The sequence below is a fragment of the Homo sapiens genome, chromosome 19 (assembly GCF_000001405.40).
Source record: "Homo sapiens chromosome 19, GRCh38.p14 Primary Assembly".
NCBI lineage: Eukaryota > Metazoa > Chordata > Mammalia > Primates > Hominidae > Homo > Homo sapiens.
In genome coordinates, this window is record NC_000019.10 from 17,956,860 (window position 1) to 17,976,922 (window position 20,063).

At 54.9% G+C, this 20,063-nt stretch overlaps 1 protein-coding gene and 1 pseudogene across 8 annotated transcripts in view, besides 3 other annotated features; both read left to right on the plus strand.

The window, feature by feature from the left end:
• KCNN1 (potassium calcium-activated channel subfamily N member 1) overlaps window positions 1-20,063 on the plus strand; it is a 48,796-nt gene that overhangs the window by 5,570 nt on the left and 23,163 nt on the right. For 6 of the 8 annotated variants that reach the window (NR_170373.1, NR_170374.1, NM_001386975.1 and 3 more), the window contains exons 1-3: window positions 10,248-10,458; window positions 16,949-17,431; window positions 18,233-18,328. Coding sequence is in view for 6 of the 8 variants with exons in the window: in XM_011528004.2 (XP_011526306.1) it covers window positions 10,291-10,458; window positions 16,949-17,431; window positions 18,233-18,328 (747 nt within the window). In the remaining 2 variants the exon portion in view is untranslated. Of the gene's footprint in view, window positions 1-10,247; window positions 10,459-16,948; window positions 17,432-18,232; window positions 18,329-20,063 lie in introns of those variants that run through there. The other 2 variants (NM_002248.5, NM_001386976.1) reach the window with 1 other exon arrangement.
• Window positions 3,328-3,528: a silencer, noted in NCBI's record as "peak3398 fragment used in MPRA reporter construct". NCBI's record gives its function as "represses an SCP1 promoter by STARR-seq MPRAs in K562 erythroleukemia cells {active_cell/tissue: K562}" and the evidence as "EXISTENCE:reporter gene assay evidence [ECO:0000049][PMID:32103011]".
• Window positions 5,495-6,067: an enhancer, noted in NCBI's record as "H3K4me1 hESC enhancer chr19:18073163-18073735 (GRCh37/hg19 assembly coordinates)". NCBI's record gives its function as "activates a minimal SCP1, AML or CMV promoter by ChIP-STARR-seq in naive H9 embryonic stem cells {active_cell/tissue: H9 hESC(naive)}" and the evidence as "EXISTENCE:reporter gene assay evidence [ECO:0000049][PMID:30033119]".
• Window positions 9,235-9,952: an enhancer, noted in NCBI's record as "H3K4me1 hESC enhancer chr19:18076903-18077620 (GRCh37/hg19 assembly coordinates)". NCBI's record gives its function as "activates a minimal SCP1, AML or CMV promoter by ChIP-STARR-seq in primed H9 embryonic stem cells {active_cell/tissue: H9 hESC(primed)}" and the evidence as "EXISTENCE:reporter gene assay evidence [ECO:0000049][PMID:30033119]".
• Window positions 15,166-15,258, plus strand: RNA5SP468 (RNA, 5S ribosomal pseudogene 468; annotated as a pseudogene).

Sequence of the window (20,063 nt, forward strand, 5' to 3'; positions counted from 1 at the left end):
TGCATGGTGAAACCCCGTCTCTACTAAATACAAAAAATTAGCCAGGGGTGATGTCGGGAGTGCCTGTAATCCTAGCTACTCAGGAGGCTGAGGCAGGCAGGAGAATCGCTTGAACCAGGGAGTTGGAGGTTGCAGTGAGCCGAAATTGCAGCACTGCACTCCAGCCTGGCGACAAAGCGAGACTGTCTCAAAAAACAAAACAAAACAAAACAAAAAAACAAAAAACAGAGAAAGGGAGGGAGGGAGGGACAGAGGGAGGGAGGAAGGAAGGAAGGAAAGGATGGAGGGAGAGAGAGAAAAAAAGGAGAGGAGAGGGGAGGAGAGGAGAGGGGAGGAGAGGGGAGGAGAGGAGAGGGGAGGGGAGGGGAGGGGATGGTGGGGAAGGGGAAAGGGAAAGGGAAAGGGGAAAGGGAAAGGGAGAAGAGAGAGAGGGAGGGTAGGAGGGAGGGAGAGAGAAAAAAAGAAGGAAGGAAAGAAGGAAGGAAGAAAAGAAAGAAGAAAGAGGAAGGGAGGGAGGGAAGGAAGAAAATTGTTTTGTATTAGGAAGAAAATAGAATATGAGGATGTATTAGTGACCAGAGGAGCAGGGAAGCCTCTTGTAAAAGTCAGAGAGGCCTCTCTAGGGCAGTGATCATGAGCTGAGACTTGAAGGAAGAGGAGGAACTGGCCTGCTGACAGCTGGGGGAACAGCATACCCAGCAGAGGGAACCACATGTGCAAAGGTCCTGAGGTGGGAATGAGCTTGGCGTGTTTGAGGAACAGTGAGGAGGCTGCTGTGGCTGGAACAGAGTGAGTGGGAGAGAGGAGGAAGATGAAGGCAAGATCGGCAGGTAGGAGCCAAGCTACAAGGAACTCAGCGGCTGCAGTGAGGGTGTGGACTTCAGAGCAATGGGGAACCATGGCAGGTGTGTGAGCAGGGGAGAGGCATGGTCTCAGTTAGGATTTTCAGAAGCCCTGTGGCTGCTGTGGAGAGCAGGGCAGGAGTGGAGGTGGCAGGAGCCCAGAGTGGAGGCCCAGGAGATGTCTGGTGGTTTCAGCTGGGTTGGTACCAGGGTAGAGCCTCAGATGGAAAAAAGTGGGCACATTCTGGGACTGGGTTGGGGATGGAGGATGAAATGTGGCCAGGTTTCCATCTCATGCCAAGTAGCTACTGTGAGAGAAGGGAGCACTCATTGTGCTTGGGGAAACCTGGGAAGGCATCCTGGAGGAGGTGCTCTTTGGGCTGAGCCTGGAAGGTCAAGTAGAAGCTTGCCAGCAGATAAGGCTGGGGTCATGTGGGATCTAACTGCTCAAATGCCAGGGGATCACTGAGCACCCAGAATCTGGGGCAGTATAATCAGATTTGTAACCAAGAAAGATCCCTGTAATCCCAGCACTTTGGGAGGCCAAGGTATGAGGATCACTTGAGGACAGGAGTTCAAGAACAGCCTCAGCAACATGGCAAGACCCCATCTCTACAAAAGGAAAAAAAATAGCTAGGCATGGTAGCACACACGTAGCCCCAGCTACTCAGGAGGCTGAGGTGGGAGGATCACTTGAGGACAGGAGATCGAGGCTGCAGTGAGCTCTGACTGCACCACTGCACTCCAAACTGCTGCGAGACAACAGGAGACCCTGTCTCTTTTTTTTTTTTTTTTTTTTTTTGATACAGGGTCTCACTCTGTCATCCAGGCTACAGTGCAGTGATGCAATCTCAGCTCACTGCAACCTCCACCTCCCAGGCTCAAGTGATTCTCGTGCCTTAACCTCCTGGGTAGCTTGGGACTATAGATAGGTGCCTGCCACCGTGCCCGGCTAATTTTTATTTTATTTATTTATATTTTCAATTGTATTTATTTATTTATTTATTTATTTATGAGACGGAGTCTTGCCTCGTCGCCCAGGCTGGAGTGCAGTGGCGCGATCTCGGCTCACTGCAAGTTCTGCCTCCCAGGTTCACGCCACTCTCCTGCCTCAGCCTCCCGAGTAGCTGGGACTACAGGCGCCCGCCACCACGCCTGGCTAATTTTTTTTTGTATTTTTAGTAGAGACGGGGTTTCACCGTGTTAACCAGGATGGTCTCGATATCCTGACTTCGTGATCCACCCGCCTCGGCCTCCTAAAGTGCTGGGATTACAGGCGTGAGCCACCACGTCCAGCCCTATTTATTTATTTATTTATTTATTTATTTATTTTGGAGACGGAGTCTTGCTCTGTCGCCCAGGCTGGAGTGCAATGACGTGATCTCGGCTCACTACAACCTCTGCTTCCCAGGTTCAAGCGATTCTCCTGCCTCCTGCGTCAGCCTCCCGAGTAGCTGGGATTATACGCGTGCGCCACCACACCCAGCTAATTTTTTGTATTTTTAGTAGAGACGGGGTTTCACCATGTTGGCCACGCTGGTCTTGTTTTTTGTTTTGTTTTGTTTTGTTTTTTTTGAGACAGAGTCTCGCTCTGTCGCCCAGGCTGGAATGCAATGGTGCGTTCTCAGCTCACTGCAACCTCCGCCTCCTAGGTTCAAGTGATTCTCTGCCTCAGGCTCCTGAGTAGCTGGGATTACAGGCACCTGCCACCACGCCTGGCTAATTTTTGTATTTTTAATAGAGACGGGGTTTCACCATGTTGGCCAGGCTGGTCTTGAACTCCTGACCTCATGATCCACCCACCTCGGCCTCCCAAAGTGCTGGGATTACAGGTGTGAGCCACCGCACCCGGTTATATTTTTTCAATTTATTCTTTATTTTAGTAGAGACAGGGTTTCATCATGTTGCCCAGGCTGGTCTTGAATCCCTGAGCTCAGGCAATCAGCCCAACTTGGCTTCCCAAAGTGCTAGGATTACAGGCATGAGCCATGGGACCCTGTCTCTTAAAAATAAAAAAATGATTCCCTCTAGGTGGGGGGCTCTGGGGGAGGTTACACCCGAGTGAAAGAGTTCAAGAGGTGCTTTTGAAATAGTCCAGGTCAGCTGGACGCGGTGGCTCAGGCCTATAATCCTAGCACTTTGGGAGGCTGAGGTGGGCGGATCACGAGGTCGGGAGTTTGAGACCAGCCTGGCCATCATGGTGAAACCCCGTCTCTACTAAAAATACAAAAATTAGCCGAGCGTGATGGTGGGCACCTGTAATCCCAGCTACTCAGGAGGCTGAGACAGGAGAATCACTTGAACCCAGGAGGTGGAGGTTGCAGTAAGCGGAGACTGTGCCACTGCACTCCAGCCTGGGCAACAGAGTGAGACTCCATCTCAAAAAAACTAAACCAAACAAAAAAACAAAAAAAAAAAAGAAAAAGAAATAGTTCAGGTAATGGTCAGGCCAGTTGCAGCTGTAAGCATTCATGGAGCACTAGTGCTGAACCTCATGCCACTGGCCTCCAATGAGGCCATATCATTGCCTTGCAGAGGAAATGGAGGCCTAGAGTTACAAGTCCCTTGTCCACAATCACTGCCTTCATTCCTGTGGCTGCCACCACAAATGACCATGAGCTGGATGACTTACAACCACACAAAGTTGGCCAGGCGGGGTGGCTCACGGCTGTAATCCTAGCACTTTGGGAGGCCGAGGCGGGTGGATCACCTGAGGTCAGGAGTTCGAGACCAGCCTGGCCAACATGGTGAAACCCTGTCTTTACTAAAGATACAAAAATTAGCCAGGCGTGGTGGTGGGTGCCTATAATCCCAGCTACTCGGGAGGCTGAGGCAGGAGAATCGCTTGAACGTGGGAGGCGGAGGTTGCAGAGAGCCAGGATCTCACCACTGCACTCCAGCCTGGGTGACAGGAGCGAAACTCTGTCTCAAAAAAAAGAAAAGAAAAGAAAAGAAAAACACACAAAAAGTTGTGCTGTCACAGTTCTAGAGGCCAGAAGTCCAAAATCAAGGTGTTGGTGGTGTTGCCTTCCCTCCGGAGGCTCTCAGGAGGATCCTTTCCTGCCTCTTCCAGCCTCTGGTGGCTCCTGGTGTTCTTTGGCTGTGTCACCCCCACCTCTGTCTCTGTTTTCACATGACCTTCTCCCTGTTTGTCCATCTGTATCCTCATATGGGCTTCGTATTAAAAAAAACAGTTGTTAGATCAGAGCCCACCCTAATCTACCATGAGCCCCTCTTCATTGGGTGGGCCAAAGCAGGTAGATCACTTGAGGCCAGGAGTTGGAGACCAACCTGGTCAACATGGTGAAACCCCGTCTCTATTAAAAATATAAAAATTAGCCGGCTGTGGTGGTGCGCGTCTGTAATCTCAGCTACTCAGGAGGCTGAGGCAGGAGAATTGCGTGAACCCAGGAGGCGGAGGTTGCAGTGAGCCGAGATCACACCACTGCACTCCAGCCTGGGCAACAGAGTGAGACTCTGACTCAAAAAAAAAAAAAAAAAAAAACCCAGAAACCAGTTATTAGATCAGAGCCAGAACTAACCCACTATGACCCCCTCTTCATTTAACTACATCTGCAAAAACCTTGTTTCCAGGCCAGGCACAGTGGTTCACGCTTATAATCCCAGCACTTTGGGAGGCTGAGATGGGAGCCTCACTTGAGCCCAGGAATATGAGAGCAGCCTGGGCAACATAATGAGACCTCGTCTCTACATTTAAAAACAAAAAGAAAAGAAAAAGAAACAGGAGAATCTCTTAAGCCCAAGAGATAGAGGCTGCAATGGGCGTGATCGTGCCACTGCACTCCAGTGTGGGTGAGAGAGTGAGACCCAGCTTCAAAAACAAAAGAAACAAAACCCTATTTTCTTTCTTTCTTTCTTTCTTTCTTTTTTTTTTTTTGAGACGGAGTCTTGCTTTGTTGCCCAGGCTGGAGTGCAATGGCACAATCTTGGCTCACTGCAACCTCTGCCTCCCAGGTTCAAGCAGTTCTCCTGCCTCAGCACCCCCTAGTAGCTGAGATTACAGGCGCGTGCTACCATGCTCAGCTAAGTTTTATATTTTTAGTAGAAACAGGGTTTCACCATATTGGCTAGGCTGGTCCTGGTCTCTAATTCCTGACCTCAGGTGATCCACCCGCCTCGGCCTCCCAAAGTGCTGGGATTACAGGCATGAGCCACTGAGCCTGGCCAAAAAAACCCCTATTTTCAAATAAGGTCCAAGGTTCTGGGGAGGACTCAAATTTTGGGGGGTCACGATTCAAACCAGTCCACCTGCGTAGCAAGACATTGGGGTTTGGAGTCAAACCTTTGCTCCTCTATGGAGCTGCCACAGTGGGGAGAGAGGGGTTCCCTGGAGCAAATTTATGGGATCGGTTGGACCCACTGGATGTGGGGGTGGTAAAGGAAGGAGGCTAGAGCCTTCTAGCCTGAGCGTGAGGAGGGAGGGGCGCTCATGTCTGAATGGACAGGATGGGACAGTCCCAGGGTGGGGCCGCTGGTGGGCATGACAGGGGCTCCCTGACAGCCTTGGATGCTTTTTGGGGACTCCTTGCTTATGATGGAGCTGCTACCCTGCCTGCCTGTCACGCCCAGGCTCCCACTTCCTGCTCTAGGGCTGAGAACACAGCAGGCAGCCCATGGGGAGAACCGGGAAGGATCAGGCCCAGTCCCTCCCCTCCCATCCTGTGCCCCTTTTTCCTCCGTGTTCTGTCTGCAGGGCCCTTGTGTATTTATCATATCAAAGCCGGTCTTGTCTTCTGGCCTGAAACTGGGAGTCTGGGGGACTTTGTGTGTCTTTACCACCACAGTGTCCCTGCCTTAGAGTACAAGTCCTGCACACAGGAGGTGCTCAGTAGATGCTGATGGAAGGAATCCCAGGTCCCTGAATCCCGAGAGCTCAGGAACAAGCCCTCTGCGACACCTGCCCCAGCTCCCACCCTGGTATTCCCACTCCGCTTCCTGCCCCTGCAGTTCCCAGGAGCCCGAGGGAGCCAACACTCCAGATCTTGTTTTTTTTTTTTCTTTTTGAGATGGTGTCTTGCACTGTCACCCAGGCTGGAGTGCAGTGGCGTGACCTCGGCTCACTGCAACCTCTGCCTTCTGGGTTCAAGCGATCTTCTGCCTCAGCCTCCCGAGTAGGTGGGATTACAGCGCCACCACGCCTGGCTAATTTTTTGTATTTTTAGTAGAGATGGGGTTTCACTATGTTGGCCAGGCTGGTCTTGAACTCCTGACCTCATGATCCGCCTGTCTTGGCCTCCCAAAGTGCTGGGATTACAGGCGTGAGCCACCACGCCCAGGCTTTTTTTTTTTTTTTTTTTTTTTGAGACGGAGTCTTGCTCTGTCAAGCCCAGGCTGGAGTGCAGTGGCGCGATCTCGGTTCACTGCAAGCTCCGCCTCCTGGGTTCACGCCATTCTCCTGCCTCAGCCGCCAGAGTAGTTGGGATTACAGGCGCCCGCCACCACGCCACACCCGGCTAAGTTTTTTGTATTTTTAGTAAAGACGGGGTTTCACCGTGTTAGCCAGGATGGTCTCGATCTCCTGACCTCGTGATCCGCCTGCCTCAGCCTCCCAAAGTGCTGAGATTGCAGGAGTGAGCCACTGCACCCGGCCACCTTTTTTTTTTTTTTTGAGATAGAGTCTCACTCTGTCGCCCAGGCTGTAGTGCAGTGGCACAGTCTTGGCTCACTGCAACCTCCACCTCCCAAGTTCAAGCGATTCTCCTGCCTCTCAGCCTCCCAAGTAGCTGGGATTACAGTTGCCCACCAACACACCCGGCTAATTTTTTGTATTTTTGGTAGAGACAGGGTTTTGCCATGTTGGCCAGGTTGGTCTCGAACTCCTGACCTCAGGTGATCTGCCCTCTTTGTCCTCCCGAAGTGCTGAGATTATAGGCATGAGCCACCACACCCAGCTCAAATGATTTCTCTTCTAAGAGACTTCCCTGACCACCCTAACTCAAGTCTCCCTGTCCTCGTTCTTAGTTCTTTCAACTTTTTTGGATCTCTTCCTGATACTTCTGATACTTTTTTTTTTTTTTTTGTGAGATAGGGTCTTGCTTTGTTGCCCAGGCTGGAGGGCAGAGGCATGATCACAGCTCACTGTGGTCTCCACCTCCTGGGCTCGAGCGATCTTCCTGCCTCAGCCGCCCGAAGGAGCTGGGACTACGGGCACATGGCTCCACGCCTAGCTAATTTTTAAAAAATTTTTGTAGAGACAGGGTCTCGCTATGTTGCCTAGGCTGGACAGTACTTTTGTGTATCTAAAATTCTCAGTTTTATTTCCCTCTTTGGAGAGGGTTGTCCCCCTCTTCTAGAAAGCCAGCTTCAAGAGGGGCACGGTTTGTATCTCTCTAGGGTGCTGCATTCCCCAGCACCAGGCTCAGAGAAGGGGCTATGTGGATATGTGAATGAATGAATGAATTAGTGAATGAATGAATGAATCAGTGAATAAATAAATGGCTGAATGAGTGAATATCTTACCCTTGCCATCCTGACACTCACTGGGGCCCAGGTTCCAGCTTCCATCCGGGCAGTCCGGGCTGGGTCCAAGATTTCAGTGGATGCACCTGTGGAGGGGTGCTGGGGATGGAGGTGTAGGGAGATGCTCGTGTGGCCAGGCCACTCCCTGCTCCGGCCACTACCTTTGTGTCCCTGAGCTCCTGTGAACGTCTTCCAGTTCTCTTGCACCCAGACCCTTAGACACTGCCCAGAGACCAGAGGCCCAGCCCTCAGGCCCCCTGCGGAGGGGCTTGCTCTCCAGCCGCCTCCACCATGCTTGACGTTTGCAGAGGACACAGCCTGTGCGCAAGGCAGTTTCCCAGGGCATGAGTCCCGGGGGCGTCTTGGCTGCCTGACAGGCTCACTTGCAGGCTTCTTGGGTCTCTTCCAGCCAACCATGGGCTGATGAGAGGCTCTGCCTGGAACGGAGACCCAGACAGCCCCCACCAGAAGTCCCACCTCCATCCAACCTTGACTCCCATTCATGCTGCCAACCTTGTCTCTGAGGGGTGGGATTCCAGCAGGTGGCAGGACTGACTCAGGTGGGAGGCAAGGCCGTTGATCACCAGATTGATTGTCCAAGTTCCACTTCTTGATGGGGGCAGTCCCCGATCCCTCAGGGCAGGTGAATGCAAAGGAGAACAAGCACAGGTCTTTTCAGAGGGAGAAGGTGGGTACAGGGGCTTCAGGGCGTGGGCAGGGGTGCAGGGGATTGGGGGCAGTGGAGTGCTGTGGCTGATGTTTTTGTGAATTTCGGGACAGTTACATGTTAGACTTGAATTCAAAAAGCATCTGGCCAGGCGCGGTGGCTCACGCCTGTAATCCCAGCACTTTGGGAGTGGATCGCTTGAGGTTAGGAGTTCGAGACCAGCCTGGCCAACATGGTGAAACCCCGTCTCTACTAAAATTACAAAAATTAGCCAGGTTTGGTGGTGCACGCCTGTAATCCCAGCTACATTGGAAGGCGGAGGCATGAGAATTGCTTGAACCCAGGAGGTGGAGGTTTAGAGGTTGCAATGAGTGGAGATCGTGCTGCTGCACTCCAGCCTGGGCGACAAAGTGAGACTCTGTCTCAAAAAAAAAAAAAGAAAGAAAAAAGCATCTGATGCTACAGCCTGTGCAAGCAGACCAGGGTCAGCCCGTGGGCATGGTATGCTTCTCGTGGCTCAGGGACTCCTGCAAGGGCTGGGTTGAGCTGTCAGGGGCCAGGAGCATTGAATGTGGTTCAGGGATGTGCCCAATCCTGAGGGAGCTGTGGGTGGCTCCAATGTTGTGCTTTAGAAAGGGGGGCTCCTGGTGGTCCAGGCAGGGGAACAGCAAGTGCAAAGGCCTGGAGGTGGGAACTGTGGCGAGGGGAGACTGAGAAGGCTTGGCTGGAGGTTGGAGTGCTGGTGAGTCAGTGGAGAGATGCAAGAGGGGTGGCTGGTTCTCAGGTGTGGCTGAAAACCCGCCCCTTCGGAGTCCCCACAACCCCTTTCTTGCTCTGCAGTGACTCTCAAAGCTGCTTGTGTCTGGTCAGATCACTCGTAACAGCCCCCTGTTACAGATCCTATCCAACCCCGCCTGGTACCTCTGTGGATCTGACCGGGACCACCCAGGCCTCTATTTCCTGATTGTCTCAGCCCTGGGCATTGTCACCACGGCCGGGCCTTGTGCAGAGCAGTCTGGACAGGCTGGGATGAGGAACGGGCTCTCCAGGGGAGGGAACAAAGGTCCTGTCTGAGACTCTGAGCCATCACCTGGCCCCTCTGTGACTCACCGCCACCCTCAGCCCATGCAGCTATCCCTCATTCATGCCTGCCTGCCTGCCTGCCTGCCTGCCTGCCTTCCTTCCTTCCTTCCTTCCTTCCTTCCTTCCTTCCTTCCTTCCTTCCTTCCTTCCTTCAGTCCAACTGTTTTCTGAGCTCCGCAGAGGAAACACAGAAGACAGCCTCCCTCAGGAATAAACACTCAGATGTTCCTGACCTGGGCCAAAGCTCTGGGCTGGGAAGAAAACAGATGGAGGGTGTGGGAGAGAGATAGGAGGTGGGATCTGCTGGCTCCAGGAAGCCCCCAGGCTGGTGGGGGACAGAGCTGAACACAGTCACCCCAAGCCTGGTGGGAACAGGGTGAGGCAGAGGCAGAGGCAGTAAGACTGGAAGAGGAGGAAGGAAGAGCTCCCTACCCACTGGTCCCCAAAGCTCCCTGGAGCCGCCATTAACTTTGAATGAATGAGTCGGCCAAGTTCAGCCTGGGTGCTGGGGGAAGGAGCACAGTTTTGGGGACCCCCAGCCCTGGTGATCCCAAACTCCCTGGGGCTCTGGCTTCCTGTCATCCTGGAAATGGGTGTTGGAGGTTAGGACTGGGTGGCCTGATCCAGACGGGCGTCTCTCCTCCCACAGAAGGTGGCCTCTAACCGAGTGCCCCAGCATGTACCCAGTCCCACCCCTGGAAGGCCCTACACCTGGCTCCCAGACACCCCCCAACTTGCAATCACCCTAGTCCCCCTCAAGGCTCCCCTATGCAGAGCTAGACCCCGGAGGAGGTCGTTTGAGGGGCAGGCATTGAGTTGCTTTGCAAAGTTGTCTTTCAGCTGATGCTTACGGGGAGGACAGTCCCCAGGCGTGCAAAGGTTGACAGAGCGGCTGAAGTTTGGGACCTAATTTTGGGGAGGGGGTATAGTTAGGAGGTCCGGAGGGCTGTTGGGGGCGGGGGTTGGAGCTTCACCAAGGTCCTTCCCGTCTTATGGGGCAAGAGGGGGAGTTCGAAGACCAGCCGCATGCCGGGGGGTTGCAGGGGGCGCCGGGGAATGTGGGATCTTTAAATATGGGCGGGGCTTGCGGGGTCGTCGAAGGCGGTGCCAACCCGGGCTCGGCCAATCGGCGGCGGCTCCCGCGTCGCACCGCCCCCTTCTCTCCCGGCCCGGGCGGGCGCTCGCCCCCCGCCGGGCCCGTGGACTGGGCGGCGGGGGATGCGCCTGCCGCCGCCGCCCCCGGCCCCGCCGCCCCCGGGCCCCGCGCCCGCTCGCTGCTGCCCGCCCCGTCCGCGACCCCGGCTCCGGCTCCCGACTGGGGGTCCGCGGCCGCGCGGGACCCTCTCCCCTCCAGCCTTGTCCGCCCGCTCGGGCCGAGCCCCGCAGGTACAGGGTGGGATGGGTGAGGGTGCGGGAGGATCCAGGATCTGCAGCTCAGGGAGCCCGAGGAGGGAGGCACGTCTCGGAGGGGGACGCGGTTTGGGGCAGGGGCCAAGAGGGAGGGTCTCCGTGCGGTCCGGAGCCTAGGAGACACAGGAAAGGTGGGGGGAATGAATGCATGTACATTGCCCGAGTGAGTGAGGATCCACGCACCCCCATCCTGGGAGGGGGAGGGTGCAGGGTTCACTTTGGGGGAGGGCAGAGCTGTGAGTCTCCAAACTGCATAGATAGGGTTGGAGGTCGGGGAGCTCTCAGGGATGGACAGTGACCCGCAATGACTTGGGAATGGGAGGGAGGTGACCCACCACTGGCCCCTGGATCCAGGGGTTGGGGCACTCAGGGAGGGGTCAGGAAACCGGGTCTTCCATCTCTCCCCGGACAGAAGTCCCGGACCCAGCTCGGGGCACTGCCCCTGCTGTTCTGGAGGGCTGGCCAGCAGATGGGAGTTCCCGAGGCTGGGGTCTGAGCGGTGAGGCTGATGGAGATGCATCAGAATGGAGGGCCCCCGAGGGAGGCAGCCTCCAGGAGAGCAGGCTAATTGCACCCTGCTGGCTGCTGGCAGGCTCCTGGCGGGTGGTGATGGGGGGATCGGGCGGGTAGCCAGCGCCTTGCTGCACTGGCTCCTGGGCGGCCCATGGGACGGGAGGGCAGGCAGTGTCTGTCTGCCCTGCAGAGCTAGGGCCCTGTGATTATTGGGGGAGGGGAGGGGAAGGGAGGGGTGGGGGTGGTGGCGGGAAGGGGGATCCTCGGAGACCTTCCTCAACCTCAGCAGGGACACCCGGACTCTGGCTGCGCCCGCTGGGGACCCACAACAGGCCCACATGTCCCAGAAGTTTCTGCTGTGTGCTGATCTGGTTGTGGTACCCGGAAGCCCCTGGGTGTGCATCTGGGGAGCAGGGGCGGTCTGCCTTGGGGATTGAGGGGCAGGGAGCACCTTCTCTTGGTCCAGTTCTGAAGAACAGAAATCAATGGCATGAAGCTCTTACAGACTGCAAAGCATTTGCCATGCGAGATCTTACTCTGTTCTGGACACCAACCCTCGTAGTGGGGGGGTGGGGGGGAGGCACCATGAGGAATCTTTACAAAGCAGGTGGCCAAGGAGTGGGCAGTAACTTGCTCCCTGGCAGGGGTACCTAGGGCCCCTTCTCAGTGGCTGCCTCAACCAACCTGTCATTTGTAAAAATGCTCGCTGGAGGGCCCTGGGGGCCTGACTGGGATTCTGTCTCTTCCCATGTCCTGTTGGGTGGGGAATCTAAGGAGCCATCAGCCCTGCTCCCTGCTACCCTCATCCTCTCCTCAAGAGCTCTCATGGGTCCCCCCAGGCACACGAGGTTCCCCCAGAAGTGTGTGTCTCCAGGGAGGGTGTGGAAGTGGGTCTCTGCTCATCCCCTGCACCCCAGGCTTCAGGGAAGGGAGCTCTCATGACCAGACAGAGTAGTAAAAGTAAGGCAATATCAAAGACCTTCCAACCCAAATACACCCCGTAGGATGTTTGTTGTTTGTTAGAGATGGGATATTGCTAGTTGTCCAGGCTGGTCTCGAGCTCCTGGGCTGAAGTGATCTCCTGCCTTGGCCTCTTGAATAGCTGGAACTAGGTATATACCTAGCTAATAGGGTGGTATTCCTCACTTGGCAAACCCAGGGCTGTTACCCAGAAAAACATACCCTTTCATGGGCATCCAAACCTTGGCTGAGGGTTCCCAGGGGCTCCTGGGTCTCTGGGAATCCCTGAGGGTCCCAGGGACTCCAGTGTTAGGCCCAGATTGCAGTGGGGGAGGGGATGTGTACCCAGGAATGGGGAAGGCCCAGGCACTCATCAGTTCTGTGCTCCAAGCTAGTGGCTTCTCGACGGCAGGACCAGGCCAGTTCCCCTCCCAGAAAGCAGACCCTGCCACCTGCCACGCCTGGATGGCACTAATTTAGTCCCTGCCTTTCCTGGCTGGGTGACCTTGGGCAAAAGGTGCTGAGCTTCTCTGAGCTCTGTCTCCCGTCTGTAAAATGGGAACGGGAATGCCACCTTGCTCACCGGTGGTGATAGGGATTAAATGTGATCACCCTGATCTCAGGCTCAAAGCATAGTAAGAGCCCGGTCCACAGTAATGTGGTGGGTGCCGGGAAAGCCCTCCACCCCTCCACCCCTCCACCCTCTTGGAAGCCACCTGCCATTTCTCTCCTCCTCCCCACCCCCTCCCTGCCCAGGGCACCTTAGGACGCGGCTGCCAGGCGAGGAGGAACATGGCAGACACACGGCTGAATTTGGCCCATGCGTCGGGTGGCTGAGTCACATCCCCAAATTGCATCTTCATTGGTGCGTTTCGGAAGGTCGTTTGCAGAGGCCATCGGAGGCCTACACCCCCTCTGGGTTCTGTCTGCCAGGCCACCCGCTTCTCATCCCTGTGCCCCCCATCCCCAGCTGGGGAAGTTTTGCACCCTCGGGGATGGTGGAAGGGGTGCCTGGGTTTTCCTGGGCCCCCTGGAGGAGGGCAGGATCTGGGGTTCCTGTGTGCACCCTAGTGCAAGCTCCCAGCCCCACCTGGTAGCCAGCGGATGTTCAGGCAGTGGGCAGGGGTTTGAGCCTCGGAGCAGAAGGCCCACCTAAGTATTTGTGAGGTTACGGAAAGATCAGGGCCAAGGTCAGCCTCATAAACTGTCAAATGCTGGGCCCACAAGGCCAGGCCTTATAGACTGTGAAGTGCTGGGCCGGCAGGAGGTCAGGCCTGATAAACTGGGAAGTACTAGGCCACATGAGGCTAGGTCTCATAAACTGGGAAGTGCTGGGCCTGCGGGAGGTCAGGCCTTACAAGCTGTGAGGTGCCTGGTCACAGGAAGCCACAGCCTGATTGATGTGATGGGTGAGGGTGGGAAGGGGTGGGACAAGTTCTGAGACTCATGAGGTCACCTGACCATAGAAGGAATGATTTTTTTTTTTTTTTTTTTTTTTTTTTTTTTTTTTTTTTTTTTTTGGAGACAGGGTCTCACTCTGTTATCCAGGCTGGAATGCAGTGGCATGATCTCAGCTCACTGCAACCTCCACTTCCCGGGTTCAAGTGATTCTTGTGCCTCAGCCTCCCAAGTAGCTGGGATGACAGGTGCCCACTACCACGCCCGGCTAATTTTGTATTTTTAGTAGAGACAGGGTTTCACTATGTTGGCCAGGCTGGTCTTGAACTCTTGACTTCAGGTGATCCACCCACCTTGGCCTCCCAGAGTGCTGGGATTACAGGTGTGAGCCACCACGCCCAGCCAGTTTTGCCATGTTGGCCAAGCTGGTCTTGAACTCCTGACCTCAAGTGATCTACCCGCCTCAGCCTCCCAAAGTGCTGGAATTACAGGCATGAGCTACCGCGCCCGGCCACAAAGAAATAATTCTTGCACTCCTGTGTGCTGACACCAGTATCTGGAGACACATCGTGAGGGACAGACACAGTGTGGGGGGTGCCGGACAAAGGCATAGGTGGTCCTGCAATGTGTGCGGCAGCCAAAGTCACCCATGTCCAACTCAGCAGTGTAGCTCATTTTTTTTTTTTTTTGAGACAGAGTCTCACTCTGTTGCCCAGGCTGGAGTGCAGTGGCGTGATCTCAGCTCACTGCAGCCTCCACCTCCCGAGTTCAAGCTATTCTCCTGCCTCAGCCTCCCAAGTAGCTGGGATTACAGGTGCCCACCACCACACCTGGCTAATTTTTGTAGTTTTAGTAGAGACAGGATTTCGCCATGTTGGCCAGGCTGGCCTCAAACTCCTGACCTCAAGTGATCTGCCCACCTCAGCCTCCCAAAGTGCTGGGATTACAGGCGTGAGCCACTGCACCCAGCCAATGTGGCTCATCTTGCTGTGTCCTGGAATGACGATCTGCTAGTCTGTCACCCCCAGTGGGGGTGGGAAGTGTCCTGCCTGTGCACACAGCTGCCCCCAACCCTTCTCCCAGGCCTGGCACATGGGGGACCCCTAGTGCATGCTGTTGTGACCATTTCAAAGGGGATAACACTTGGCCTCCACCCACCCCTGCCCAGCTTGTTGGGAAAATCTCACAAAGGAGCCGGGTCCGGAATCTTCCCTGCAAGGAGAAGGTGTGTCTTCAGGCAGGTTTGTATTATTATTATTTTTTTTTTGAGACGGAGTTTTGCTCTTGTTGCCCAGGCTGGAGTGCAATGGCATGATCTCAGCTCACTGCAACCTCCGCCTCCCGGGTTCAAGCGATTCTCCTGTCTCAACCTCCTGAGTAGGTGGGATTACAGGCATGGGCCACCACGCCCAGCTAATTTTTTGTCTTTTTAGTAGAGACGGGGTTTCACCATGTTGGTCAGGCTGGTCTCGAACTCCTGACCTCAGATGATCTGCCCACCTTGGCCTCCCAAAGTGCTGGGATTCCAGGCGTGAGCCACCGTGCCCGGCCCAGGCAGATTCTTTCACAACATCATGCCACAGTTTCCCCATCTGTAAAACTGGCCAAATCCCAGGACCCACTTCTTGGCAGTATTAGGATTCAGGAGAACATTTACATAAAGAATGGAGCCTGGGACCGGGCACAGTGGCTCATGCCTGTAATCCCAACACTTTGGGAGGACGAGGAGGAAGGATCACTGGAGCCCAGGAGTTCCAGACCAGCCTGGGCAATGTAGCAAGGCCTGATCTCTACTAGAAATAAAAATAAATCATCTATGGCCATACCACCCTGAACACTCCCGATCTCATCTGATCTCGGAAAAATAAATCATTAGCTGGGGGTGGTGGCGCATACCTGTAGTCCTTGCTGCTTGGGAGGCTGAGGTGGGAGGATCGCTTGAGCCCAGGAGTCCGAGGCTGCAGTGAGCTAGGATTGCCCCACTGCACTCCAGCCTGGGCTACAGAGCAGGCAAGGAGTGCATTTGAGGGTCTGAGATACTGGGCTGGGCAGGGCAGGGGAGAATCTGACAAGTTGGATCCAGAGTCTCAGACAGCCTCTCAATGCCTTGGTGAGCATGATGACTATGTCACCATCATTGAGGTCCCTGCTCTCACACATGATGCCACAGGACATTGCTCTGTAATCACACAGGGTGCTTTTCAAATAGCCTGGCAGGGAAACAGGCTAGCCTGAGATCATAGAGCCCAGCCAAGCATGTCTTATGTCTTACAAAGCCCTGCAGAATCGATTCTAGATCTTGGAGTTAAAGCCTGCATTGCCACACTGTTTGGAGATCATGGATCCCCTCCTGGAAACCATTTGGATTCTGTTTGGAATCTGTTTGGAGATTATGGATCCCCTCCTGCCCAGGCAGGAGGGAGCCTCAGGATCTCTGTAGCCACAGCCAGGGTCCCTAATGTCCCATAGGCCACAGTGCAGGAGCCTACAAATGCAGGAGGCACGGTGAGGTGAGGTTAACTCATCCAAGAGTCTGAAGGTTGGAAGAGGATGAGCTCAGATGAAAACCACCTTCTAAGCATACCATTAGCCACCCTCTCCTCCCAGGCAAGCCCGTTGGTAGATTTCATCTTCCAGCGTTCAGCAAGTGTTTCCTGAGTGTCATCTGTTTGCTAGGCATTGTTCTAGGTGCTTGGATACACATAAAGTCAGCAGGCAGGGCTCTGGTAGGGGGGCATTCCAGGCAGAGGGCACAGCCTGTGCAAGGTATCAGAGAAGGATGAACTTGTTGGAATCTGGTGATTGGGAGACCATTGTGGCTGGAGGAATTGGGTCTGGGGAGAGTAAGAAGGACGAGATAGGTGGGAACCAGATACAGAGGGCCCCTTGGCCATAGTGAAGAGTTTGGTGTTTTATTTGTTTTTGTTTTTGTTTTTTTTAGAGATCGGCTCTAGTTATGTTGTCCAGGCTGGATTTAAACCCCCAGACTCAAGTGATCCTCCAGTCTCAGCCTCTGAGTAGCTGTGATTACAAGTGTGCACCACTGGGCCCAGCTCTGGAGTTTCTTTGTTCTTTTTCTTTTTTTTGAGACGTAGTCTCACTCTGCCACCCAGGCTGGAGTGCAATGGCATGATCTTGGCTCACTACAGCCTCTGCTTCCTGGGTTCAAGCGATTCTTCTGCCTCAGCCTCCCACGCAGCTGGGACTACAGGCATGCACCACTACGCCTGGCTAATTTTTGTATTTTTAGTAGAGACTGGTTTTCGCCATGTTGGCCAGGCCAGTTTCGAACTCCTGAACTCAAGCGGTCCTTCTGCCTTGGCCTCCTAAGTAGCTGCAATTACCAGAGCTGCACCACCATGCCCGGCTCTCTGGGGTTGATTTTTTCAGTGAGATGGCACTGGGGAGCCATGGCAGGGCTTTGAGCAGGGGAGGGATTCAGGCTGACTCAGATGTTTCTGGGATGGTAAACCCACGTGTCAGCACTCTGGGCCACTCCCAAACTTAGAACGTTCTGGGTTGGCCGGGATGGTCCTTGCCTTTCTGGTCAGTAAGCTGGACCCTGCTGTGACCATGTCCCTCTGTGCCCTTGCAGGTCAGTGCAGGAGCCCAGCCGCTGAGCCATGCCGGGCCCCGGGCGGCCTGCAGCGAGCCCAACCCCTGCACCCAGGTAGTCATGAACAGCCACAGCTACAATGGCAGCGTGGGGCGGCCGCTGGGCAGCGGGCCGGGCGCCCTGGGACGAGACCCTCCGGACCCTGAGGCCGGCCACCCCCCACAACCCCCGCACAGCCCGGGCCTCCAGGTGGTAGTGGCCAAGAGTGAGCCAGCCCGGCCCTCACCCGGCAGCCCCCGGGGGCAGCCCCAGGACCAGGACGATGACGAGGATGATGAGGAAGATGAGGCCGGCAGGCAGAGAGCCTCGGGGAAACCCTCAAATGTGGGCCACCGCCTGGGCCACCGGCGGGCGCTCTTCGAGAAGCGGAAGCGCCTCAGCGACTATGCCCTCATTTTCGGCATGTTTGGCATCGTCGTCATGGTGACGGAGACCGAGCTGTCCTGGGGGGTGTACACCAAGGTAGGCGTGGTCCTCCCCCAGGCACTCCAGGGAGGTTCCACCAAGCCCGCCTAGCTTTCTTGACATGGGGTTGGGGGTGGCAGGGCCCCCCGGGAGATAGGGAGTGTTAGGGGGCTCCCGGAGGTGAGGGCTCCCTGGCCTTCTGCATACCCACCTCCAGGAAGGTAGCAGGGAGGCTACACATGGAGAAGGAAGGTTCCAGCCCATTCCCTGGCCAGGTGTCAAGGGGCTGCACCCTGGCTTAAGGCGGAGGGGGGCTTCCCCCCAGGACAGGGGTTCCCCAGAGTGGGCCTGCTCTGGGGAGCAACAGAAGATCTTCCTCCCCTTCCGAGAGTGAGTGCGTCCAGGTTACAAGCCTGGCTGTGGGTTCCCTCATGCCACCTAGAATGTGTGAGGATGGAGAGAGATCAGGGCTGTGTCAGCCTGTAAACTCTGAAGTGCCGAGGCTGGATGAGGTCCGGCCTTGTGAACTGTGAAGTGCTGTGCCCAAGTGAGGCCAGGCCTCATAAACTGTGAAGCACTGGACACATCTTGCTGTCAGCCCAGTCCCCAGGAATAAGGACAGGAGAGCACCGCTTCCTGAATACAGCACATGCTGCACGCCCAGCCCTGATAAGCTGTTTCACACACAGCAGCCCCAGGACTGGGGAACTAGCAGAAATTCAGGGTACAGTGGGAGAAGCCACTGGGAAGAGCCCCATTTAGCTGACTCCCATGCCCGGGAGCCAGGGTAAGGGGATGGGAGGGCCGCCGGCCCACCGCCTCCAGCGTCCATCTGGCTGTGTCCTCTCTCTTTACCAGGAGTCTCTGTACTCATTCGCACTCAAATGCCTCATCAGCCTCTCCACGGCCATCCTGCTGGGTCTCGTTGTCCTCTACCATGCCCGGGAGATCCAGGTCAGTGCTGAATACTGCAGGAAGCAGCTCCTCTCCTCAAACCCCAGATCCCCCCACACCAGCCCACCTTAGACCCCATCCCCTCAAAACATAAAAGGATGTATAATTGGCTTCTGATAGAAAAAAGATCTCCATAAAGACACACAGTTTCCATCATTCTAGATTTCCTTGAAACACACATCTGTGTTTTAATTTTCATTGATTATTTACAAAAAAGAACAGGTAGTGAGAAAGTGAGGGGCTGAGCTGGGACTCTGGGACACACGGGTTGTTTCCAGGCTGGAGTGCAGTGGTGCGATATTGGCTCGCTGCAACCTCTGCCTCCTGGGTTCAAGCGATTCTTCTGCCTCAGTCTCCCGAGTAGCTGGGATTACAGGCGCATGGCACCACACCTTGCTAATTTTTGTATTTCTAGTAGAGACGGGATTTCACCATGTTGGCCAGGCTGGTCTCGAACTCCTGACCTCCAGTGATCCACCCGTCTCAGCCTCCCAAAGTGCTAGGATTACAGGTGTCAGCCACTGCTCCTGGCCTATTTGTTTAGTTTTTGAGACAGGGTCTCACTCTGTTGCCCAGGCTGGAGTGCAGTGATGCAGTCATGGCTTTGACCTCTTGTGTTCAAGAGATTTTCCTGCCACAGCCTCCCGAGTAGCTGGGACTACAGCTGCGCACCACCACACCTGGCTAATTTTTGTATTGTCTTGTCAGTGTCTCGCCATATTGCCCAGGCTGGCCTCAAACTCGTGGGCTCAAGTGATCGGCCCACCTCACCCTCCCAAAGTGTTGGGACTTTACAGGCATGAGCCACCATGCCCGGCTGCACACGCATGTTGATAACAGCACTGTTCAAAGTAGCCAAAAATCACACCTGTGATCCCAGCACTTTGGGAGGCCAAGGCGGGTGGATCACTTGGGGTCAGGAGTTCAAGACCAGCTTGGTCAACGTGGTGAAACTCCATCTCTACAAAAATTAGCCAGGCATGATATCGGGTGCACGTAATCCCAGCTATTTGGGAGGCTGAGGCGGGAGAATCACTTGAACCTGGGAGGCAGAGGTTGCAGTGGAGCTGAGATCGAACCATTGCACTCCAGCCTGGGCAACAGAGCAAGACTCCGTCTCAAAAAAACAAAAATACAAAGTAGCCAAAAAGCAGAAACAACATCCAAATGTCCATCCAGGCATGAATGGATAAATAAAATGTAGTGCACCTGTACAATGGACAATTATTCAACCTTTTTTTTTTTTTGAGACGGAGTTTCACTGTTGTTGTCCAGGCTGGAGTGCAATGGCACGATCTCCAGCTCACCGCAACCTACGCCTCCTGGGTTCAAGCAATTCTCCTGCTTCAGCCTCCCGAGCAGCTGGGATTACAGGCATGTGCCACCACACCCAGCTAATTTTGTATTTTTAGTAGAGACGGGGTTTCTCCATGTTGGTCAGGGTGGTCTCGAACTCCCAACCTCAGGTGATCTGCCCGCCTCGGCCTCCCAAGGTGCTGGGATTACAGGTGTGAGCCACCGCGCCCAGCATAACCTTTTTTTTTTTGAGATGGAGTCTCACTCTGTTGCCCAGGCTGGAGTGCAGTGGCGCGATCTTGGCTCACTGCAACCTCCGCCTCCCAGGTTCAAGTGATTCTCCTGCCTCAGTCTCCTGAGTGGCTGGGATTACAGGTGCCCGCCACCACGCCTGGCTAATTTTTGTATTTTTAGTACAGATGGGGTTTCACCATATTGG